The 25,794-nt window shown below is 46.9% G+C and overlaps 1 protein-coding gene across 4 annotated transcripts in view, besides 2 other annotated features; it reads right to left on the bottom strand.

Annotated features, from left to right (window-relative positions):
• Positions 1-25,794, bottom strand: part of SAE1 (SUMO1 activating enzyme subunit 1) — a 79,802-nt gene that overhangs the window by 10,493 nt on the left and 43,515 nt on the right. For 2 of the 4 annotated variants that reach the window (NR_027280.2, NM_005500.3), the window contains exon 7: positions 2,767-2,911. The exons of the other annotated variants lie outside the window; for them this stretch is intronic. Coding sequence is in view for 1 of the 2 variants with exons in the window: in NM_005500.3 (NP_005491.1) it covers positions 2,767-2,911 (145 nt within the window). In the remaining variant the exon portion in view is untranslated. The remainder of the gene's footprint in view (positions 1-2,766; positions 2,912-25,794) is intronic. 4 annotated transcript variants of the gene reach the window in all.
• Positions 10,288-11,054: an enhancer, noted in NCBI's record as "H3K27ac-H3K4me1 hESC enhancer chr19:47692347-47693113 (GRCh37/hg19 assembly coordinates)". NCBI's record gives its function as "activates a minimal SCP1, AML or CMV promoter by ChIP-STARR-seq in primed H9 embryonic stem cells {active_cell/tissue: H9 hESC(primed)}" and the evidence as "EXISTENCE:reporter gene assay evidence [ECO:0000049][PMID:30033119]".
• Positions 13,122-13,391: an enhancer, noted in NCBI's record as "active region_14860". NCBI's record gives its function as "activates an Ori minimal core promoter by ATAC-STARR-seq in GM12878 lymphoblastoid cells {active_cell/tissue: GM12878}" and the evidence as "EXISTENCE:reporter gene assay evidence [ECO:0000049][PMID:35858748]".

Genomic DNA, 25,794 nt, shown 5'->3' with positions numbered 1-25,794 from the left:
GGCTAACACAGCGAAACCACATCTCTACTAAAAAATACAAAAAAAATTAGCTGGGCGTGGTGGCGGGCGCCTGTTATCCCAGCTACTGGGGAGGCTGAGGCAGGAGAATGGCGTGAACCCGGGAGGCGGAACTTGCAGTGAGCCAAGATCATGCCATCGCACTCCAGCCTGGGGGACAGAGCGAGACTCTGTCTCCAAAAAAAAAAAAAGCCATCATCTAAACATAGGCAGCAGTTTACAAGGTGCCTTTGTAACATCAGCACCGTGAGGTCAGCGGCTGATGACACTGTACAGGCTTGGATCTCATGGTAACTCACTGGGGCACTCATCTCTTGGTGGAGGAATGACCAGTTTGTGAGAAGCAAGTGTTTCCTCTGCTGTGCTTCGCAGCAGGAAGAAGGACTGGGTCATGCAGGGCTTCAGTTCCAATAATCCCAGCCAGTCAGCCAGTGGCAAGCGGCAGCCACTGAGCATACCTGGGGCTGTGTGCTGGGCCGTGAGTGTGCAGCCAAGTGACTACTTGGGCATTCAAAGTGATGAACGGTCTGGCTCTGCATCACCGGCCAGCAGAGTTGAAGGCCCTGCTTCCTAGAAGAGGAAAGCCACAGCCTAACGAGCTGCTGGCTGGTTTTCTCTCCAAAGTGGTTCCTTCCCTGCCCACCCTCTTTGGGGAAACCGCTTTTCCATGTCTCAGTCTCGTGTGCTCAGGCACTGCCACTCTATTGCTGCCTTTTTTTTTTTTTTTTTTTTTTTGAGAAGGAGTCTCCCTCTCGCTCTGTCGCCCAGGCTGGAGTGCAGTGGCGTGATCTCAGCTCACTGCAACCTCTGCCTCCCGGGTTCACGCCATTCTCCTGCCTCAGCCTCCCGAGTAGCTGGGACTTAGGCACCCACCACCACACCTGGCTAATTTTTTGTATTTTTAGTAGAGATGGGGTTTCACCATGTTAGCCACGATGGTCTCAATCTCCTGACCTCATGATCTGCCTGTCTCGGCCTCCCAAAGTGCTGGGATTACAGGCGTGAGCCACCGCGCCCAGCCTTACGCTATATGTATTGAGACACGGTCTCTCTCTGTCACCCAGGCTGGAATGCAGTGGTGCAATCTTGGTTCACTGCAACCTCTGCTTTCCTGGGCTCAAGCGATGCTCTAGCCTCAGCCTCCAGAGTAGCTGAGACTACAAGCACCAGTCATCGATGCCCAGTTAATTTTTCTATTTTTTGTAGAGACAGGGTTTCACCATGTTGTCAAGGTTGGCCTCAAACTCCTAAGCTCAAAGCAATCTGCCTGCCTCAACCTCCCAAAGTGCTGGGATTATAGGTGTGAGCCACTGTACCAGGACAATCATGGCTTTTTGGGTCAGGGCACCACAGGTGCTTCAAAGACCACTGCTGGCCCTAAATGGAGTGGGGTTTGCTGTTGCTCACCTGAAGTTCCCAGCAGGAAGTCAACAAAGAAAGGACTAGGGACTCTGGCAGACCTTACTGTTGATAAGAAACCAAGGTAGCATGCTGCTACTAGAGCAAGCACTGTAATGATACCTGGGGTGGGATCTGGGTTGGCTACTTACTACCTGATGCCTAGTACATAACAGCTGCTCAGTAAACTGCAGCCATCATTATCACTGCTACAAGCTGGAGGCACTGCAAAGCCGAGTTTAGGAAGCCTCTCAAGACATGGAAAGGGAATTAGGGTGTGTACATGATCCCAGAGCTGCTTGGAAGGAGATGTGGATGGAGCGCGTGGTGGCTCATGCCTGTAATCTCAGCACTTTGGGAGGCCAAGGTAGGCGGATCACCTGAGGTCAAGAGTTCAAGACCTGCCTGGCCAACATGGAAAACCCCATCTCTACTAAAAATACAAAAAAAATTAGCTGGGCGTGGTGGCAGGCACCTGTAATCCCAGCTACTCAAAAGGCTGAGTTAGGAGAATCGCTTGGACCCAGGCGGCAGAAGTTGCGGTGAGTTGAGATTGTGCCATTGCACTCCAGCCTGGGCAACAAGAGCAAAACTCTGTCTCAAAAAAAAAAAAGAGAGAGAGAGATTGTGACCTAGTCACTATGTGGTCTTCTCCAATCAAATCCTAAGCCTGTTTATGAGAGCAAAAAGGTAGTCACGTAAGGTGAAAGCATGGAGTGTCCAAGTGAGAGGATGCTGGGAACATGGGTGGTTTTGCTGCTGGGGGTATGAATTGATAGGATACCAATGGAGGCAAGGTGGCAATGCTGACCAAATGATAAATTACAACCTTCTGACCCAGCAACTCCCTTCCTCCTAATTATCCTGCAGTTGTACCTGCACACGTACGACACAAGGTCACACACTGCAGTGTTACGCAGTTAGAAAAGCCTGAACACAACTTGAGTGAGCAGGCAACTGGTTCAATAAACTCCATCGCTTCACACTCTAGAATACTAAGGAGCTGTGGAAAAGAGGGAGCAAACTATGTACTGATCTGGAGATGTCCCCAAGAGATAACAAGATCACATAAAGTGAAAAAAGGTAGAGAATAATGTTTACAGATCTTACATTGCCTTGAATTTTGAACCACGTGAATATAAGATACTTATTGTAAAAATCAGAATCTGTCCCCTCTTTATTTTTTATATATTGCTATTCTAGTGGAGAGGCAGAAGTCTACAGGAGCGAGCAGAATGTGGCAGGGTGCTCTCTGAAGGGTTTCTAATAAAAGAGCTTGTCAAATTAAGGCAAATCCTGAAAACAAACTTTATCTGTCCAGACTAAACAGTGATAAATACTGACACCAACCTGACAAAGTCCTCAGGAAGCAGGTCAGGACTAATACCCAGTGAGTCAAGCACATCATTTCGTATCTGGAGCAACAACTCAGAATCTTCCTCATATGTATCAGAACTGGGATCTCTTCCTTTATCTGTACGGAACTTTAAGAGCACTGGGAATAAGAAAAAGAAGGCAGGTTATAAAGCCACTTTTTTTTTTTTTTGGAGATGGAGGCTCACACTGTCGCCCAGGCTGGAGTGCAATGGCACAATCTTGGCTCACTGCAACCTCTGCCTCCCGGGTTCAAGTGATTCTTCTGCCTCAGCCTCCTGAGTAGCTAGGACTACAGGCACGAACCACCATGCCTGGCTAATTTTTGTATATTTAGTAGAGACGGGTTTTCACCATGTTGGTCAGGCTTGTCTCAAACTCCTGACCTCGTGATCCGCCCGCCTCGGCCTCCCAAAGTGCTGGGATTACAGGTGTGAGCCACGGCACCTGGCCACCTTTTTTTATTTATTCAACAAACATAGTCAGAGAGGCAATCCAATAATTATAAAAGCAATTTACCTTACTGTGAAAAGTGCTGTGACAGCATAATAGGGCGTCTGACACCCTCTGTAGGGTGGTATCAGGAAGGCTTCCCCGAGGAAACAATTCAATGAAGTATATATGAGTTTGAAGGGGGCAGAAAGCAGTGGAAGCTTTCAGTAGAGGAAAAAGGCTCTATTAAGACCTGGAAGAGCCGGGTGCGGTGGCTCACAGCTGTAACCCCAGCACTTTGGGAGGCCGAGGCAGGTGGATCACAAGGTCAGGAGTTCGAGACCAGCCTGGCCAACATAGTGAAACCCTGTCTCTACTAAAAATACAAAAATTAGCCAGGTGTGGTGACACGTGCCTGTAGTCCCAGCTACTTGGGAGACTGAAGCAGGAGAATCACTTGAATCCAGCAGGCGGAAGTTGCAGTGAACCAAGATTGTGCCACTGCAATCTAGCCTGGGTGACAGAGTGAGACTCCGTCTCAAAAAAGTAAAATTAAAAAAAAAAAAAAAAAAAAAAAAAAAAAAAAAAGCCAGGCGCGGTGGCTCACGCCTGTAATCCCAGCACTTTGGGAGGCCGAGGTGGGAGGATCACGAGGTCAGGAGTTTGAGACCAGCCTGACCAACATGGTGAAACCCCGTCTCTACTAAAAATATAAAAAAAATTAGCCAGGCACCTATAATCCCAGCTACTCGGAAGGCTGAGGCAGGAGAATCGCTTGAACCCAGGAGGCAGAGGTTGCAGTGAGCCAAGATCGTGCCACTGCACTCCAGCCTGGGCAACAGAGCGAGACTCCGTCTGGGAAAAAAAAAAAAAAAAAGACCCGGAAGAGGCAGAGTGTGATGGCACACATCTGCAATCCCAACACTTTGGGGGGCCAAGGCGTGAGGATCGCTTGAGCCCAGGAGTTTGAGATAATCCTGGGCAACATAGTGAGACCTCACTGCTACCAAAAAAAAAAAAAAAATTTAGCCAAGTATGGTGGTGCCTGTAGTCCCAGCTACTAAGGAGGCCAAGGCAGAAGATCACTTGAGCCCAGAAGGTCAAGGCTACATGAGCAGAGATCTCATCACTGCACTCCAGCCTGGGTGACAGAGTGAGACCCTGTCAAAAAAAAAAAAAAAAAAAGAAGAAAAAAAGGAAAGGAAAAGGAACAAAGGGAAGGAAGAAGCGAAGGGGAAGGGGAAGGGAAAGGGAAAGGGGAAGGGACCTAGAAGAGAGATGATAAGGAGTGGGAGGTACACATTCTAGGCAGGACCAGTTTAAAGCCTGCTTTAGCCAGAAGGGCCAGCCATATACTTAGACCCATCAAACAGGAAGGTCATTACAAACAAAACTTCCTTTACTATGAAAACTATCTCAATCCCCATAAATGGATGTTTAATTTTGGTTGTGAACCAGAGGAAAGGTTCAGATGATGGCTGTGAGTCAGAACTACTGTGTAAGAAGACCCCAACAAGGCTATAACTTTTATCCCAAATAAAGACAAATAGGAGCAAAAGACTAATTAGGCTGGGTGCAGTGGCTCACGCCTGTAATCCAAGCATTTTGGGAGGCCAAGGCGGGTGGATCATCTGAGGTCAGGAGTTCGAGACCAACCTGGCCAACATGGTGAAACCCGGTCTCTACTAAAAATACAAAAATTAGCCAGGCGTGGTGGCAGGCACCTGTAGTCCCACTTAGTCAGGAGGCTGAGGCAGGAGAATCGCTTGAACCCGGGAGGCAGAGGTTGCAGTGAGCCGAGATCGTGCCACTGAACTCCAGCCTGGGCAACAGAGTGAGACTTCATCTCAGAAAAAAAAAAAAAAAGACTGGCCAGGTGTGGTGGCTCACGTCTGTAACGTCTGTAATCCCAGCACTTTGGGAGGCCGAGGCAGGCAGATCACGAGGTCAGAAGTTAGAGACCAGCCTGGCCAACATGGTGAAACCCCGTCTCTACTAAAAAAATACATAAATTAGCCAGGCGTGGTGGCGCACGCCTGTAGTCCCAGGTACTTGGGAGGCTGAAGCAGAAGAATCACTTGAACCTGGGAGGTTGCAGTGAGCTGAGATCGCGCCACTGCACTTTGCCTGTGCGATAGAGCGTAACTCCATCTCAAAAAAAAAAAAAAAAAAAAGACTGATTAACATACCAACACCTTCTAACTGCCCACTACACCTTGTCCACAGGTAACCTGCCTGCGGGCGGGCAGGCATTCTTGTTCCCTACATACTGCCCAAGGAAAGGGCACAGCCAGTCTCGAGCCTTGTCTCTAAGGACAATACTCTTTCTCCCACATCACACAGGCTATTTCAGAACAGACACAGAGACATGGATCAGCTTCTAGGCCCAAGCCCTGAGTGCTTTACACCTGGAGAGGGGGCTTTACAGTTTGTCAGTTCTTTCATTGATATCTCTTCCGTATATGTTGATTGAAAAAGTAGACTTATTCAGCAAATTATACTCTCTACCAGGACAAGGGTTCCTACATAAAAATTAAGGTAAATTCAAGTTGCTGTGAGGCTCTTTAAAAAATACAAGTATTTGGTACCCACCCCAGACTGAAGCATCAGAGTCACACTTTTTAAAGACCAAATAGTTTTGGTAATGAGCAGCCTGTGTTGAGGGCCATTCTCTAAGTAGAATTCATTCACTCCACCAGCCTGGCACTTACTTTGTGCCAGACAGACCTGGGTGCTAAAGGTCCAATGGCGAGTGAGTGAATCTTGGTCTCTGCATCTGTGAAGGCAATGGGTGGGAGAACAACTGAGGAGGACACAGTTTTAGAAGCTACAACAGGTGGCTCCACTGAAGCCTGGGAGACGTTCAGAAATGGGTTATAAAGTGTTCCAAGAAGATCTCAAACCACAGATGCCCAGGTAAAAAAAAAAGACACACCCTGCTTCTGGGCTATGCTTTTCTCAGTGCCAATGTCAGACAAAGGCCCCTGGCCTGTATTTCTCTGGTAACTTCCACCTGTCCAGTATAGACGGGGCTCTGCATATCAGAGAAGAGGTAATTTCTTTTTCTTTTTCTTTTCTTTCTTTTTTTTTTTTTTTGAGACAATCTTGCTCTGTTGCCCAGGCTGGAGTGCAATGGCGTGATCTCGGCTCAATGCAACCTCCACCTCCCGGGTTCAAGCCATTCTCCTGCCTCAACCTGCCAAGTAACTGGGGATTACAGGTGCCTGCAGCCACACCCAGCTAATTTTTTGTATTTTTAGTAGAGATGGGGTTTCACTAAAAATAGAAAAATTCCTGGTCTCAAGTTCCTGACCTCAGGTGATCCTCCCACCTTGGCCCCCCAAAGTGCTGGAATTACAGGCGTGAGCCACAGCACCCAGCTGGTAATTTCTTTAAAAAAAAAAAGGAAAGAAAAGAAAAAAGCTCCAGAACACCCATTGACTCTTCTGAATACTGTTTGCTTTCTGAGAATGTTACTCTCTTCTCTTTTTCAAGAACACAGCTTCTGCAACCCTCAATGCTACCTCAACACTTGGCAGTCAACTCAAAGCTGTAACAATTGGCCAGGTGTGGTGGCTCATGCCTGTAATCCCAGCACTTTCAGAGGCTGAGGCAGGTGGATCACCTGAGGTCAGGAGTTCAAGACCAGCCTGGCCAACACAGCGAAACCCCATCTCTACTAAAAATACCAAAAAAATTAGCCGTGCATGGTGGTGGGTGCCTGTAATCTCAGCTACTCGGGAGGCTGAGGCAGGAGAATCTCTTGAACCCGGGAGGTGGAGGTTGCAGTGAGCCGAGATTGTGCCACTGCACTCCAGCCTGGGCGACAGAGCAAGACTCTGTCTCCAAAAAAAAAAAAAAAAAGGCTGTGACCATCTAGACGATCTGGATGCCAGAGAGCACTGATCTGCTACCACCCAATACTTCTACTTTTGTAGATGTCCTGCTGGTATTCCGATTGTAGTAAATAAATGCAACTGAGTAACCATTTTGGGGCAGGGTAGAGAAATGACTGCAGAAGTGGCAAGTACTGCCTGTTTGGACCAAGCCTCTTTTCAAAAAATGTCCCATAAAATAAAGGAGGCCAGGTGCAGTGGCTCACACCTGTAACCCCAGCACTTTGGGAGGCTAAGGTGGGCAGATCACTTGAGGTCAGGAGTTTGAGACCAGCCTGGCCAACATGGTGAAACCCCATCTCTACTAAAAATAGGAAAATTAGCCGAAAGTGTGGTGGGTGCCTATAATCAAGTACTTGGGAGGCTGAGGCAGTAGAATTGCTTGAACCCAGGATTCAGAGGTTGCGGTGAGCCGAAATCACACCGCTGCACTCCAGTCTGGGCTACAGAGAGAGGCTGTCTCAAAAAATAAATTAAGTAGCCGGGCATGGTGGCTGATGCCTGTAATCCCAGCACTTTGGGAGGCCAAGGCGGGTGGATCACGAGGTCAGGGGTTCAAGACCAGCCTGGCCAAGATGATAAAACCCCATCTCTATTAAAAATACAAAAATTAGCTGGGCATGGTGGCGGACGCTTTTAATCCCAGCTACTCGGGAGCCTGAGGCAGGAGTCGCTCAAACCCAGGAGGCAGAGGTTGCAGTGAGCCGGTATCGTGCCACTGCAATCTAGCCTGGGTGACAGAGCGAGACTCTGTCTCAAAACAACAACGACGACAACAACAACAACAACAAACCAGTAGGAAGGGTGATAATAATTACCCGCTCACCAGGTTATCGTGAAGATCACATGAGTGCTAAGCCATGTGAAATGTTTAGTATAGTGCCTGACACATAGTAGGCACTATAACGCTTTGGGCTTTGGTGCTCCCAAAGCTATATTTTCTTTCTCTCTCTTTTTTCTTTTTTTTTTTTTGAGACAGAGTCTCGCTCTGTTGCCCAGGCTGGAGTGCGGTGGCGCGATCTCGGCTCACTGCAAGCTCCGCCTCCCGGGTTCACGCCATTCTCCTGCCTCAGCCTCCCGAGTAGCTGGGACTACAGGCGGCCATCACCACGCCCGGCTAATTTTTGTATTTTTAGTATAGACGGGGTTTCACCGTGTTAGCCAGGATGGTCTCGATCTCCTGACCTTGTGATCGGCCCGCCTTGGCCTCCCAAAGTGCTGGGATTACAGGTGTGAGCCACCGCGCCCGGCCTATTCCCACAGCTATGTTTTCAAACCAAAAGATGAAAAGCTTTGTGGTAACAGCTGAAAAAAAAAATCACCTCCTCTTGTTGGTCCCTTGTGACAGTTGGTGCTTGTGTCCCAGTAACAAAGAAATAAGATCGCACAAGAGTCATCTAGCACAGGGTTCCTGCCACTGTCCATCACCTTGCACCTGGAAAGCAGGCAGCCTCAGTTTCCACGTGACTGCTGCAAGGCCTCAGACTGTGCCCTATAAGCAGCCCATGCACAGCTTTGCCTCCATCTGCTCAGGCAGTGTTGATACCCTTTCTGGGTCTTGTTGCCCTGTTCTCTCAGGAGTGACTGACAGGACTAGCGTTTAACATTTGATGCAATATCCTCTGCTTTGGCTATACTAACAGATGGCTGGATTCCTTTATTTTTATTCATTTATTTACTTGTTTTTGTTTTTCTTCTTTTTTTTTGAGATGGAGTCTCACTCTGTCACCCAGGCTGGAGACGCCCACAACCACGCCCAAATAACTTTTGTATTTTTACTAGTGACGGGGCTTCACTATGTTGGCCAGGCTGGTCTCGAACTTCTGACCTTAAGTGATCCTCCTGCCTCAGCCTCCCAAAGTGCTGGGATTATAGGCATGACCCACTACGCCCAACCTACCCATCCTACTTTACAGATCAGGAAACTGAAGTTCAGAAACATTAAATGACTTGGTCACTGTAACTCCCAAGTACTGGAGCAGAAATGTAAACTCAAATCTAGCTTCAGAATTTGTGCTTCTTAACCCTAATGGAATCCAAAAGAAACAGCAGGTCCATACAGGGACACAGCACCTAGGATTCCAAGTGGTCTGGTTCTTTGCCACCCACCTCAGGGGATCCCCCATTTGATCAAGTTTTTGTCAAATGCATTTTTCCAGATGGGCCTCGCCTCTGTTAATTTCAAGCTGTAAGTTCAGTGGGTGAGAAGTGGAGACCGTGGTCATATAAAACTTTGCCCATCAATCTTGAGAGAGTAAACCAGCTTCCTCTTAGGAAGAAATAGGACAGCATTAAGAGCAGGAGCAAAGGCGGCAGCAGCTGACCCCGCTGTTTCTCTGGGACCCTTGCCTGTTCCTGGTGCAGTTTGGCTGGACGAGGGCCGGCAGGCTGGCACCATCCACATACCTCGCTGACCACATCTGAAGTCCTTGCAGGGCCTCTGGGAAGGGGGCCAATCAGTCCAGCCACTTACTTGCAGCAAAACAAACAGAAGCTGTCTTTTTTCACTCTTTCTCGAAGGTCAGACTCCAGTTAGCAGCAGTGGAGGGGGGCAGGAAGAAAGCCATGTTCTTGACAGGCAGCAGCCTCAGAACTGACCCTAGCCCCTGACAAGTTCTCGCTTATTAAATTCTCCTTTGTTCTGCTTTCCGCCCCGCCCCAAGAGCCAAACACGCACACATACCACTGTTGACTGCATTTCTGAAGAGCACCTCCCACCAGTTTACACATTATAAAACTGTTCCGTTAAGATCAAACACTGTCAGGGATAGAGAGGTGCTCTACCAAAAGATGACTCATCAAATCGTATCAAAACACTGCACAAAATTAGAGTTCCAAACTTGATTAACTTCATCTGCACCTTTTAATTAACTCAGGATGCTGAAGTCTGGGGGGATGACATTCATTGCTGGAGATGATGGACTAGTGTCTCGGCTTAGGTTCAGGACTTGCCCATGTAATGGAAAAGGCAAACTTTGGAAAAGAGAAACCAAGCACGGTTTCACGTTATTTATAGAAAAAACTGTGGATATGTGAATATACAACCACCTTTACAAAATAATGTAAGCACTCAAATTCAAATTTAATCTCAGTTCATAACATCAGGTTAGCGCTATAACGGGAATCTGGACAGCAACATTATTAATCACTGTTTGTTACATAAACTTCTATTACATTTAACTATTATGCCTAAATCTAATCACCAAGGCCACCGAATAAACCAGTACTTTAGTAGGAAGAAAATAAAGTCACTGTCACAAATTAGCCCCTAATTGCTGGCCCCCAAAAACAGTTCAATTGTGGGGGGCAGGGGAGTTGAATCTATATCAAAACTTCATTTACCTGAGACAGGCCCAAAGCTTTTCTGTGCCAGACACCTCGGCCCCAATTCCCTGGCTCCCTGCAGCTGAACGTAGACTCCTCCCCAGGGTTGGCTCACTTTTGTTTTTTTTGTTTGTTCGTTTTAAGACAGAGTCTCGCTCTGTCACCCAGGCTGGAGTGCAGTGGCGCGATCTTTGCTCACTGCAACCTCCGCCTCCCAGGTGCAAGCGATTCTACTGCCTCAGCCTCCTGAGTAGCTGGGATTACAGGCACGCACCACTACGCCCGGCTCATTTATATACATATTTTTTAGTAGAGATGGGGTTTCACCATGTTGGTCAGGCTGGTCTCAAATTCCTGACCTCGTGATCCGCCTGCCTCAGCCTCCCAAAGCGCTGGGGTTACAGGCGTGAGCCACTGCGCCCAGCCCCCAGGTTGGCTCACTTTATGGAGAGTCGCTATCTCTGGAAACAGCCTGGTAATCTGCTCCACTCCCAGGTGACATAAATTTCCAGAAAAATTGCAAAGTATGGTAGTACTACCTCTTATCCAACAGCCTGTTTCCTAAGGCAAAGCCCTGGGCCTGACATTCAGTCAATTGTTCATTCAATAAATATACACTGAGCAATGACTGTGCCAGGTGCTGGGCTGGGCAGGCGAGGGCAGAATGGATGGTCTACCCTCTCACAGCATTTCAGAGGGCAATCAACAAAAACTACACAGGAGATAACAATGTCCTAACTCGAAAAGGGGCTTTGAGAGAGCCTCAGGGGGGTGCAATGAGGTGCCTTGTCAAGTGACCAGGCCCTCCACAGTTGGCAGAACCACCTCAGTCCTCATAGTCTCTGAATATTTGCCTGTCCCGTCCTCTGTACCTTCTCTCTGCAAAGCCTGTCCCTGGCCTGGACAGCTTTCCAACTGGAGGGCAGCAGCGAAGAGCACAGCTCTAGACTCCCTATTCTTCCACTTACTGTGACCTTGGGCAAGTGACAAGGACCCTGAGCCTCCTCTGCAAAATGGGAATCCCAAGGGCACTTGTGGGGTTTAAAGATTAAATGAACCAATACATGTAAAGCACCCAAGAGTGCCTGGGGCAGTATCTTCCAGGTCTGTCACTGCTCTTAAGCAAAGTCCAGAAACCCAGCTCACACTCGCCCTAGAAAAGCCGATACACTTGCTGTGGTAACCTGTGTCACACAGTAGCTCATTTACCTGCATTACCATTAATTCAGCTGTGGGCTCTGGACACGATACTGCCTCAGATCTCCCTGTCTCCTGACATTCACTCCCAGCACAGTTTTTTCCCTTAGATACCTTACTCACAGTTTGTGATTATTTTTTTCTTTTTTTTTTTTGAGACATGGCCTCAGTCTGTCACCCAGGCTGGAATGAGCAGCACAATCTCAGCTCATTGCTGCCTGGACCTCCTGAACTCAAGTGATCCTCCTGCCTCAGCCTCCCAAATAGCTGGGACTACAGGCATGCACCACCATGCCTGGTGGTTCATTTTTTATTTTTTGTAGAGACGAGGTCTCACCATGTTGCCCAGGCTGGTCTCAAACTCCTGAGCTCAAGTTGTCCACCTGCCTTGTCCTCTGAAAGTGCTGGGATTACAGGCGTGAGCCACCATGCCCTGCCCAGTTTGTGGTTTTATATTCACCTGTGGAAATGAACTAGCACAAGGACTGGCTTGTCTCCTCCATTAGATTTTTATGCTCTGTGGGGCAAAGGCGATGTCACTACTCTATACTGAACACCTGGCACAGGGCTTGCCCCATAGCAGGCACTCAAAAAATATGTCACACAGGAAGCCTGTTTGAAGAATAAAGGATAACTAGGGGAGAAGGGCTCATGACAAAGTGACACAGGCCGGGCAATCCAGAGGCCGGGTGCAGTGGCTCACGCCTGTAATCCCAGCACTTTGAGAGGCCAAGGCAAGCAGATCAACTGAGGTCAGGAGTTTGAGACCAGCCTGGCCAACATGGTGAAACCCCGTCTCTGCTAAAAACACAAAAATGAGCCGGGTGTTGTGGCAGGCACCTGTAGTCCCAGCTACTTGGGAGGCTGAGGTACGAGAATTGCTTGAACCCAGGAGGCAGAGGCTGTGGTGAGCTGACATTGCACCACTGCACTCCAGCTGGGTGACAAAGCGAGACCCTGGCTCAGAAAAAAAATAAAGTGACACAAGCTCCTGGAAATCCAAAGCAGACCTGGTCTGTTACTGACTGAATTGAAAAGTGTTCAAGCTATCTGGGATGGTTCTGTTTCTTATCAAGTGTTACAAACATGCTACACATGGAATACTCAGCAAGAAAAAAAGAAAAAAGCAGCAGCAGATACACAGGGCACCATGTCTGTCCTCAACAGGGAAACCCAATAGGAGTCCCACTTTCACCGTTGCATCTGAGGGCTAGGGTGCAGAACAGTCCATAGGTGTGAAGCTCAGAGGAGTGACATAGCTGGGCTGGGGGAGGAGGTAGGGACACTTCACGGAAGCCACTCTGATTCTGGCTCTCCTGGCCTCTAACCATTCACGGCATCTTGCCATCTGCTCAGTTCACCTCCACATTACTTTCCTTTGTTTACCTCATTCTGTTTTCCTCTTTAACCCAGAAACTTAAAAGTATGTGTGTGCATGTATTCAGTCATCCACTCTTCAAAAATCACTTCCTGAGCACCCCCCCTCCACCCCTACCCTATGCTAGCTGTGGTGGGGACCCAGAAGCGACCCAGACAGCCCCAGGCCTTGCCCTCACACGCGGAGCTCACAGTCTCTAGAGGGCAGGCTCGTAAGCCTCTGTCTGTCGCCACAGCCACACAGTACTTTCATGTCTTTCTCTAGAAAACTTCACCTCTGGAGTGGCCGCCCATGAAGACTACTCTGAAATGCCCCTTTTTGTGCTCCAAAAGTCCTGCCCACGCTTTCGTCTTTGCAATGAAACCCAGTCTATGACCTCACCAGGCATCAGCTCAGAAGAGGGAAAGAAGCTGTGCCTCGCTATTTGCATCTCACTCTCTACTGAAGAGGTTCCGAGGCGCCGGATGAAAGTTGTTGATGGGGAAAAGGAGCATGCACTTTCTCAGAAACGAGCTCAAAAACAAGATGCCATTTTTTGCTTACCAAATTAAAGACCAGGATGACTCAACCCAAGCAAGAAGGCTGAGGGACCTGCACCCTCACCCACAGCAGAGGGGAGCACGAATGCTCAATGAACCATGTAAAAATGTGGTATTAAGGATCCCTATAAAAGGTCCTGACCCTTACCCGCTGAATGAATTACCTATAAATGTTCACTGCAGTGTTGTTTACACAGGATGTCAGGGAGCAGAAGTGTTTGAATTTTGGGTATTTTCAGATTTTGAAATATTTGCATTGTACTTACCAATAGAGCACCCCAAATCTAAGAATCCCAAATCCAAAATGCTCCAATGAGCTTTTATTATTTTTTTTTTATTTTTATTTTTGAGACAGAGTCTCTCTCTGTTGCCCAGGCTGGAATGCAGTGGCGGGATCTCGGCTCACCGCAAGCTGTGCCTCCTGGGTTCAAGTGATTCTCCTGCTTCAGCCTCCCTAGTAGCTGGGACTACAGGCACCCACCACTACACCTGGTCAATTTTTGTATTTTTAGTAGAGACGGGGTTTCACCATGTTAGCCAGGCTGGTCTTGAACTCCTGACCTCAGGTGATCCACCCACCTAGGCCTCCCAAAGTGCTGGGATTACAGGCATGAGCCACCACGCCCGGGGCCAATAAGCATTTTTTTGAGTGTTATGTCGGCACTCAAAACATTTCAGATTTTGGGGGCTTGGTGCGGTGGCTCATGCCTGTAATCCCAGCACTTTGGGAGGCTGAGATGGGTGGATCACTTGAGGTCAGTAGTTCAAGATCAGGCTGGCCAACATAGTGAAACCCTGTCTCTACTAAAAATACAAAAATTAGCCGGGTGTGGTGGCACACGTCTGTAATCCCAGGTACTCAGGAGACTAAGGCAGGAGAATCACTTGAACCCAGGAGGCGGAGGTTGCAGTGAGCAGAGATGGGGCTACTGTACTCTAGCCTGGGAGACACAGTGAGACTCTGTCTCAAAAAAACAAAAATAGGCTGGGCGCAGTAGCTCAGCCTGTAATCCCAGCACTTTGGTAGACAGAGGTGGGAGGATTACTTGAGGTCAGGAGTTCAGGATCAGCCTGGCCAACACGGTGAAACCTCGTGTCCACTAAAAATACAAAAAATTAGCCAGGCATGGTGGCGGGCACCTGTAATCCCAGCTACTTGGGAAGCTGAGGCAGGAAAATCACTTGAACCTGGGAGGTGGAGGTCGCAGTGAGCCGACACACCACCGCACTCCAACCTGGGTGACAGAGCAAGACTCTGTCTCAAAAATAAGTAAACAAATAAAAATGAAAAATAAAAAAAAATTCAGATTTTGGGTTCTTGGATTTAGACACTCAGTCTGTACCACATATAAAGACATATTGACAGAATGGAATATTACATGGCTATTAAAAAACTATGTTGAAACAGAGATTTTAGACACATGTTTTTTGCAACATTTAGGTTTTTTTAAAAAGCATATAATGGCCGGGCATGGTACCTTCCAAGTACGCCTATAATCCCAGTACTTGGAAGGCCGAGGCGGGTGGATCACCCGAGGTCAGGAGTTCGAGAGCAGCCTGGCCAACATGGTGAAACCTCATCTCTACTAAAACTACAAAAATTAGCTGGGCATGGTGGTGGGCACCTGTAATTCCAGCTACTTGGGGGCTGAGGCAGGAGAATCGCTTGAACTTGGGAGGTAGAGGTTTCAGTGAGCTATCACACCACTGCACTCCAGCCTGGGGGACAGAGTGAGACTGTCTCAAAAACAAAACAAAACAAAACAAAACAAAACAAAACAAAACAAAAACAAAACAAAAACAAAAAAAACCCCACAACCATGTCATATCCTACATTCAGACTGAGCTCTCCTACGTAAAAAAATACGACAGAACGAGGCCGGCAGTGGTGGCTCACGCCTGTAATCCCAGCACTTTGGGAGGCTGAGGTGGGTGGATCACCTGAGGTCAGGAGTTCAAGAGTAGCCTGGCCAACGTGGTGAAACCCCATCTCTACTAAAAATACAAAAACTAAATGGGCATGGTGGCGGGTGCCTGTCATCCCAGCTACTCGGGAAGTTGAGGCAGGAGAATCGCTTGAACCCAGGAGGTGGAGGTTGCAATGAGCCAAAATCACACCATTGCACTCCAGCCTGGGCGACAAGAGCAAGACTCCATCTAAAAAACAAACAAACAAGCAAAAAACAAAAAAGACAGAATGAGGTAGGTACAACTGTTACCACCCCCATTTTAGTGGTAGGAAAACTGGGGCTTAGGAGAGGCTTATGGTCACGACGGATTTAAAAGTCACCACATTCTTAACCTCTACGTTATAGTGTCACCTTTGGAAAAGAGAAGAAACAGAAGACATGCCAATTTTTACAAAAATCACTTTAAAATGGATTTGGCTCCCCTAACCCAGAGCCCATCAATTTAAAATAATACAAACCACCATTTCAGACTAGCCCCAGCCCAATATTCTATTCCTTTCCTTAAAAATGTCAGGCGATTCCAGAGCTTGACTCTCACCTTTAAGGTGAAACATTCTAACTAGTATGAAAAAACTAATTTACAAAAAGGAAAAAAAAATCTAAAAGTCACAGGGAAATAATGTGGACAACAAGAATAAACTTCCATGGGCCCCTAATGCATTGCTTTGCCAACCACACCCTCTGGTCACAGAACTGTTCTGACAGAGCCCTCTACATTCAGAGCCACCCTGCCTGGTCACAAGCAGCAGGGAGAGAGGGTCTTGTCTCCAGCCCAGCACTTGAGCAGCACATGACCTTGACTCTAGGCATCTGCTGCTCTCTGCCAACCCCTCTTGCCGAGGGAAGATGGCACAGGACATTCCCGTGACTGTTGTCTGACAGTCAGAGAAAAGATGTGAGGCTTTAAACAAGAATTGCAGCTGGGCCTTGGGGCCTGTGAGCAGCTCAAACACAGGCTACTGCCAAGTGGGTGGGGGAGTGGGGGAGATGTGGGCCTGCTAAGAAAAAAAGCAAGGCAGGTTGCTGACAATGTTGCCCATTATTGTAATCTGATCTTGGTGGGCCTCAGTTTCCCATCTGCAAAAGTGGAATAAGAAAATGTCACGAGGTGCCTGTGAAGTTTAGACAAAATAATCATCATAATGGTATTATTAGTAATGCTAATAATTAAAGTCTGACTGAGCACTTTGTTGGGCGATGCTTAAACACAAGGCCCTGGGGATGACAGTGTGACAGCTCTGGCTCGTTTAGACTCTAACACTTACTGCGTGTGATGACCCTGGACAAATGACTTAGCCCTTCCAAGATTCAATTTCCTCATGTGAAAACAGGACAAGACCTGATCTAGTAAGGCTGTCATGAAGATTTAATATGATCACAATGCATGTAAAGTACGTGAACCGGTCAGGCACAGTGGCTCACGCCTGTAATCCCAGCACTTTGGGAGGCCAAGGTGGGTGGATCACCTGAGGTCAAGAGTTTGAGACCAGCCTGGCCAACATGGTGAAAGCCCATCTCCACTAAAAATACAAAAATTAGCCGGACGTGGTGGTAGGCACCTGTAATCCCAGCTACTCGGGAGGCAGAGGCAGGAGAATTGCTTGAACCTGGGAGGCAGAGGTTGCAGTGAGCCAAGATTGTGCCACTGCACTCCAGCCTGGCTGACAGAACGAGACTGTTTCAAAAAAACAGTCAAAAAAAGAGACAGGGTGTTGCTATGTTGCCCATGTTGGTCTTGGACTATTGGCCTCAAGCAATCCTCCCACTTTGGCCTCCCAAAGGGCTGGGATTACAAGCCTGAGCCACCACACCCCGCCTGTAACCAGTAACTATTAATTCACAATGTGTGCCAGGCCTTCATCTAATCCTTCCAGTACTGTGTAGTATAGACTTGGTGCTGAACCTCTCTTGCAGACCGAGGAGCAGAGTCGGTGACTAACCAGTTCTGTTCTCTCATGAGCTCTCTGCTGTAAGGCACTGAGCCGCATTTGTGGGTCACCTCTGCCCTTCTCCTCACCTCTCCTGTTTCCATGGTGGTGCCTTCTTCCTTTCTGAATGACTGTGGTCTGCATTCTCTACCACTGATAAGGCAGTGGTGTGCGCGCGCGCGTGCGTGCGCGCACACACACACACACACACACACACACACACACTACGCTTTTTTCTTTTTCCTTACAAATTATTTTTAAACATCTGTGGTCATGACAGCAGCAAATCAACAAGCACTCAGCTGCTGCCCCATTATCGGAACCCATTTCCCTGTGGCTGTCTCTTTCTCAGCAGTTTTTGTCATTACTGGACACCAAAAACCCACTGGGGAATGTCATACCCAAATAGCGATGGCTGCCTATGGCCTGCTTTGCAAAGGTTACAAGTTCTAAAATAAGAAGTTTCTTCTGAAGAGAACTAATCACCAAATCCAGCCGGCATCCAAAGACAACGTCATTTAAAAATCACAAAACAGGAAAGTTGGGAGTGTGAATGAGGGGAAATTGAAGAATGAGGAAAGAAAATTTTCTAAATTATCTAACAGGCTGGGTGCAGTGGCTCACGTCTGTTATCCCAATGCTTTGGGAGGCAGAAGTGGGAGGATCACTTGAGCCCAGGAGTTCAAGACCAGCCTAGGCCATGGAGTGAGGCCTCTCTACAATAAAATTAAAAATTTAGCCTACAATAATCCCACCTACTCAGAAGGGTGATGTGGGAGGATCGCTTGAGTCCAGGAGGCTGAGGCTGCAGCAAGCTGTGATCATACCACTGCACTACAGCCTTAGAGCAAGACTCTGTCTTAAAAAAAAAAAAAATTCTGTAAAATTAAAAAAAAAAAAAAAAAAAAAGAGGCCAGGTGCACTGGCTCACACTTATAATCCCAGCACTTCAGGAGGCTGAGGTGGGAGGATCACCTGAGGCTAGGAGTTCGAGACCAGCCTGGCTAACATGGCGAAACCCCATCTCTACCAAAAATACAAAAATTAGCCAGGTGTGGTGGCGGGCACCTGTAGTCCCAGCTACCTGGGAGGGGGAGGCAGGAGAATGGCGTAAACCTATGAGGTGGAGCTTGCAGTGAGCCGAGATGATGCCACTGCACTCCAGCATGGGCGACAGAGTGAGACTCCATCTCAAAAAAAAAAAAAAAAAAAAGGAAAAGAAAAAACAAGAAAAACAAAACAAAAACCATTCTCTTAAATAACCATGAGACAATTATCATAACTGTAAAAATAAATAACATGGAAACAGTACTGCTATCTAACCTACAGACCTTTTTATTTGTTTTTTATTTTATTATTATTATTACTATTTTGAGATAGAGTTTCGCTCTTGTTGCCCAAGCTGGAGTGCAATGGCGCGATCTCGGCTCACCACAACCTCCGCCTCCTGGGTTCAAGCGATTCTCCTGCCTCAGCTTCCCAAGTAGCTGGGATTACAGGCATGCACCACCACGCCTGGCTAATTTTGTATTTTTAGTAGAGATGGGGTTTCTCCATGTTGGGCAGGCTGGTCTCGAACTCCCGACCTCAGGTGATCCACCTGCCTCGGCTTCCCAAAGTGCTGGGATTATAGGCGTGAGCCACCACGCCGGGGCCTCTTTTTACCAATTGTTCCACTAACATCCTTTAGAGCAAAAGAAAAAAAACCTTCCTCTATTCTCAGATCCAACCCAGGGTTACATATTCCAAGAGGCATGAGGTCTAACTGTCCATCCCTAGATTGTTAATTTCATCACTCAGCTGAGGTACAACCTGCCAGGGTTCTCCAATGTCTCTCTATGTAATTCATTTAAAAGCATCTTCTTTTTCGGGGGAGACAAAGTCTTGCTCCCAGGCTGGAGTGCAGTGGTGCAATCACAACTCACTGCAGCTTCGACCTCCTGCGCTCAACCGATCCTCCCATCTCATCCTCCTGAGTAGCTAGGACTACATGCATGCACCACTGTATCTGGCTAACTTTTTTATTTTTTGTAGAGATGGGGTCTCGTTTTGTTGCCCAGGCTGGTCTCAAAACTCCTGGGTGCAAGTGATCAATTTGCCTCAGCCTCTTGGGATTTATAGGGGTGAGCCACCAGGCATAGCATAAAAGCATCTGATAAGGAAACATCTACACTGTTTCACCGCAAACTGTTCCCCATTGATTTTAGCACTTTGATTCTTGATTGAAACAATTGTTACTACTATGGTGATAGTCAAAGATAGACTTTGTTATCTTCATAATTCCTTGTTTACATTAATTGATTATTCTTCTTGTTCTTTTGACATGCCCCTATCATTCTTAGAGCACTTCCTTACTTTCTGGCATAGCAGGATATTCCAAGCTCACCTGTAATTTTCCTACCCCAGATCTGGAAACAGCCATTTCTCCAAGGAACCCTGGTTTCTCTTTAGTGAGGAAAGGTATTAACATCTTGGCATGAGTGCGTTCAGTGCTTCTGGGATGTCTCTGGGCATAAACCCTCTCAACAATTCTAGGAAACAATTCTAGGAAATAAACACGTGTAAAAGTGGATATGCATACACACATACATCTATTACTACATCTACGTATAAGAAACCATGAGTTCATCCAGATAACTTCAATTCCAATCCAATACCACATGGCTCCTTCTAGCCTTTCCCACTGTCCACATTCATAGGAACACCCTTTTCTGACAATAAGAAAACTTGATTCTCACTATTAACACTATACTTACCTATCTGCTCAATCTTAGAAGAACAGTAAGTAGTTTCAGAATTGCTAACCCCTATCACTGTGAAAAACAAACCTACTAGGCCAGGCAAAGTGGCTCACACCTGTAATCCCAACACTTTGGGCAGGAGGCTCACTTCAGCCCAGGAGACAGAGACTACCCTGGGCAACACAGTGAAACCCCGTCTCTACAAATAATACCAAAATCAGCTGGGTGTGGTATTGCATGCCTGTAATCCCTGCTACTTGCCTATAATCCCAGCTACTTGGGAGGCTGTGATGTGAGGATTGCTTGAGCTGGGAGGGAGAAGCTGCAGTAAGTTATGATCGTGACACTGCACTCCAGCCTGGGGTACAGAGCAAGACCTCATCTGAAAACAAAATCCCTACTAAGCAGAGTTCAATATTTATTTAGAGTTTTTCTTTTTTTTTTTTTCTTAAGATGCTCTGTCACCCAGGCTGGAGTGCAATGGAGCAACCTCGGCTCACTGCAACCTCTGCCTCCAGGGTTCAAGCAATTCTCCTGCCTCAGCCTCCCAAGTAGCTAGGATTATAGGAGTGTGCCACCATGTCTGGCTAATTTTTTTGTACTTTAGTAGAGACAGGGTTTCACCATGTTGCCCAGGCTGGTCTCAAACTTCTGAGCTCAGGCAATCCACCTGCTTCAGCCTCCCAAAGTGCTAGGATTACAGGCGTGAGCCATCGCGACCGGCTAGAGATTTTTCTTTCTTTTTTTTTTTTTTTTGGAGACAGAGCCTTGTTCTGTCGCCCATGCTGGAGTGCAGTGGTGAGATCTCGGCTCACTGCAAGCTCTGCCTCCCGGGTTCACACCATTCTCCTGCCTCAGCCTCCCAAGTAGCTGAGACTACAGACGCCCGCCACCACGCCCGGCTAATTTTTGTATTTTTAGTAGAGACGAGGTTTCACCGTGTCAGCCAGGATGGTCTCGATCTCCTGACCCTGTGAGCCACCCACCTCAGCCTCCCAAAGTGCTGGGATTACAGGCATAAGCCACCGCGCCAGGTGAGATTTTTCTTTACTTTGAGGGTATGCAGTCAAAATACTATATTGAACAGCTACTTGGGTTAGCTCCTTTTTCCTCCCTGCTTCAGTGCACAAATGTAATTTGAAATACAGTGCTTAACACATTTTAAAAGAAAAACGCAGGCTATGCACGATGGCTCATGCCTATAAACTCAGCACCTGGAAGGCCGAGGTGCATGGATCACTTGAGGTCAAGAGTTCGAGACCAGCCTGGCCAACATGGCGAAACCCTGTCTCCACTAAAAATACAAAAATTAGCCAGGCATGGTGGCGTGTGCCTGTGATCCCCACTACTTGGAGGCTGAGGCAGGAGAATTGCACGAATCCAAAAGGCGGAGGTTGCAATGAGCTGAGATTGCACCTGCAACTCCAGCCTGGGCAACAAAGCTAGACTCTGTCTCAAAAATAAAATAAACATAAACGAGTAAGCAAAGGCTTTGACCTGGGAAATGGGCTTCCCTTTCCTATGACAGTACTTTCCCCTAACTTGGCTGATTTGAGAAACCTGGGTGCTATAGAAAAATGCAGACATGCAAGTCACTCCTAGCTATCTGGATTCAGTAATGTGAGCTACAAGCAGGCACTCCGCATTTTTCAACGGTTTCCTCAGTGATTCTGACTGATAGATAGATAGATTTCTTTTTTTTTTTTGGAGATGGAGTCTTGCCCTGTCGTCAGGCTGGAGTGCAGTGGCGCGACCTCAGCTCACTGCAACCTCTGCCTTCCAGGTTTTCAAGCGATTCTCCTGCCTCCCCCTCCCGAGTAGCTGGGACTACAGGCGCACACCACCATGCCCAGCTAATTTTTGTATTTTTAGTAGAGATGGGGTTTCACTATGTTGGCCAGGATGGTCTCGATCTCTTGACCTCATGATCTGCCCACCTCAGTCTCTCAAAGTGCTGGGATTACAGGCGTGAGCCACCGCGCCTGGCCAGATTCTGATATTCTATCAATAGGGAAACCACTAGCCTGCTCTCTCCAAGCTCCAGTCCCCTCCGAGGCTCAGCCTCTATCCTGCTGGCCCTGTGCATGTGTTGCTCTGCAATATTCTTCCCTCTTTCCCACCTGGCAAATACCTGTTCCGAGAAATACAGCTCAGATCTCCCCTCCTCTGTCAAGACTTCACAACTCCCCAAAGATGGTCAGACCTTCAGTTTCCTAAGTTCCCATAATAAATTACTTTGATTATTATGGAATAATGCAAATGTATTTAAAAACAGAACAACGAGCCAGGCAGGGTGGTGCTTTCCTATAGTCCCTCTTTGGGAAACTGAGGTGAGAGGATTTCTTGAGGCCAGGAGTTCAAGGCCAGCCTGGGCAACATAGCAAGACCTCCCTGCCCCAATCTGTACAAACAGATTTTTTAAAATAGCTGGACATGGTGGCACACGCCTGTAGTCCCAGCTACTTTGCAGGTCGAGGTGAGAGGATAACTTGAGCCCAGGAGTTCAAGGCTATAGTGAGTTATGATTGTGCCACCACACTCCAGCCTGGAAAGCAGAGCAAGACCCTGTTTTGGGGGGGAAAAAAAACAAACAAAAACCAGGAACAACACATGATAGTTTCTATAGCCCTCTGTTATAGCTGTCCTCACAAGGAGTAGAATTATTTGTTTGTCTTTCACATTGGCAAGAACACTTATTCTATTCCTCTTCCTCTGATTAGTCCCAGCTATGAGATCTGGTACATAGCAGGTGCTCACAAAATGTTTGGTCTAAGAATATTTTCAGCTTCAATTCTGTGGCTCAAAGATGGTCTAAGTACTTTTCCATAACTCATCAGAACAGAGACTGAGCAAGTTAAGATTGCCAAGAATTCTCTGATAAGTATTCTCATCTTGAGATGAAGTCCATTTCTTCCTGCTCTAGGCTAAACCTGTATGTTATTGTTCATGCTGGTAAGTGAATGCTGTTTCCATACCAGACTCGGTATTTTTAGCACTCCTGTTATGATAAACTCACAGTAACCTCAAAAAGAACAAATCAAAGTCATTTTTTTGCCACAGGAAACCAGCTCACGCTTACTGTTTTGCAACATGCCATGGGAGAATAATAAAAAGAAGAGACCTTTTGCTCACAGATGGCGAGGCCAACTCTCAAGACAGTGGAAAAATGCAGCAGGAAGCGTACAGTCTGGCCACTAACTTATTAAGTAAACTGGAAAAACACCCAATATCTAAACATGGCAAGCACATGCATGCGGACAGCAGGTGGCTGAATTGTGAATGGGGCAATAAAAAACATCTACCTGTGAGTGAGAGCCCAGGGCAACATTGGAATCAAAAGCCTGATGGGTGCCACAGGGGTAGGCATGCAGGCAAAAGGACCCTGTGGGGACTCCAGTGGGCACACTACTCTCCCTCTACAATAGGGCAAATGACCAGACAAGCAAAAACCACTCATGCAAAAAATATTTATTTATTGAGCACCTACTATGTGCGCCATTAGGCAATAGTGAAACAAAATCAGGTTTCTTTGTGAGATATTCTTAGGTATGCATCCCAGCCAAGCACCTTGTCCCCACTAGGAATTCCTAAGGCATCGTCAGTCACATTAGTCATGTTCCTAGAAACAATTTTGGAAACAAATTCCAAGCACTGGGAAAAATGGAAAATAAGCATGCCTTTCAAGATGAGACTGGTCATAGATGACGGTACATCCAAAGGAATATAACATCATGCTGCCAAGAAAGCAAAAGAGGCCACTTTTGTATGTATGCTCTTCCCCTACCATTTACGCCATCAAGTGTACACAAGCAAGTTCCCAACCGGTGTTTCACAGTTTGATTACATAAACACAAATGATTATAATTGTTAACCATTGTTCAACAAGATACTAAAAAACTTAACAGTAGTTCTCCTAGAAATTTAGAAGACAAAAAAATGGGAAGGGTTTAACAAAGAAAACTTTTTCTGCCTTCAAAAACTTTGAAGACTTTTTACTATGATGCTTATCTAACAGAAATACAATTCAAATGTTTCTTGGGGAAAAAGAAGACAATTATCTGGGCCTGAATTCAGATAATCTTTGTGTCTAAAACTATCTGCACCAGAGTTTTTTCTACTATGGTGGTGATCCTGTTTCCCTAACTCACAGAACTCCAGATCTGAAATTTAATGAGATATATTAGTTTAGAGATATTTTATTTATTTTATTTTGAGACAGAGTCTCGTTCTGTTGCCCAGGCTGGAGTGCAGTGGCACGATCTCGGCTCACTGCAACCTTGCCTCCTAGGTTCAAGAGATTCTCTCACCTCAGCCTCCCAAGTAGCTGGGACTACAGGCATGTGCCACCATGCCTGGCTAATTTTTGTGTTTTTTAGTAGAGACGGGATTTCACCATCTTGGCCAGGCTGCCCTCGAACTCCTGACTTCAAATGATCTGCCCACCTCAGCCTCACAATGTGCTGGGATTACAGGCATAAGCCACCGCGCCCAGACTACAGATATATCTTAAATATGTTGAAAACTAAGTCCACAGGTAAAACAAACCTCATGGTCTAAATTCTGACTGTCTATAAAACCACGGATATGACTTTCGGCAATCACAACCATGCTCAACCTTGGTCTCCTTATAGGAAAATGGGATAACAACTATACTTCAAAGATTGTCACAAGACTGTGAGAAAATATATCAACTTAGGTGCCAGGAACATGGAAACAAGAGTAGTGCCTACAAAGTTTACCACTCAACTTGGATATCCCCCAAAGCCACCCTGCATCCTGAAATCAGAATGTTACTGAGGCTTGACTTTACAGTAGGCAAAAAAAAAAAAAAAAAAAAAAAATCAAGGCCACTTTTAAATTATTTCCACTTCTAATGTGCTAACTTTGATCTTAAAAATCCTTCCTGATGCTACACAATATGTGATTGTAAATGTTCTCACTGCCGGGCACGGTGCCTCACGCCTGTAATCTCAGCACTTTGGGAGACCGAGGCAGGAGGATCACCTGAGGTCAGGAGTTTGAGACCAGCCTGGCCAACATGGTGAAACCCCGTCTCTACTAAAAATACAAAAATGTGGCCAGGCGCGGTGGCTCACGCCTGTAATCCCAGCACTTTGGGAGGCTGAGGCAGGCGGATCACGAGGTCAGAACATCGAGACCATCCTGGCTAACATGGTGAAACCCCGTCTCTACTAAAAATACAAAAAAATTAGCCGGGCATGGTGGCGGGCACCTGTAGTCCCAGCTACTCGGGAGGCTGAGGCAGGAGAATGGCGTGAACCCGGGAGGCAGAGCTTGCAGTGAGCTGAGATCATGCCACTGCACTCCAGGCTGGGAGACAGAGCGAGACTCCGTCTCACAAAAAAAAAAAAAAAAAAAAAAAAATTTGCCAGGCGTGGTGACATATGCCTGTAATCCCAGCTACTCAGAAGGCTGAGGCAGGAGAATTGCTTAAACCTGGGAGGTGGAGGTTGTGGTGAACCGAGATCGCACCATTGCACTCCAGCCTGGTCAACAAGAGCGAAACTCCATCTCAGAAAAAAACAAAATAAAATAAAACATTGTATGATTATTACTGACCTATACGCTTAAGTTATAA

Source organism: Homo sapiens, chromosome 19, assembly GCF_000001405.40.
Source record: "Homo sapiens chromosome 19, GRCh38.p14 Primary Assembly".
Lineage (NCBI taxonomy): Eukaryota > Metazoa > Chordata > Mammalia > Primates > Hominidae > Homo > Homo sapiens.
The sequence above is the reverse complement of the archived record's forward strand: the minus strand, read 5'-3'. Positions and strand labels throughout refer to the sequence as shown.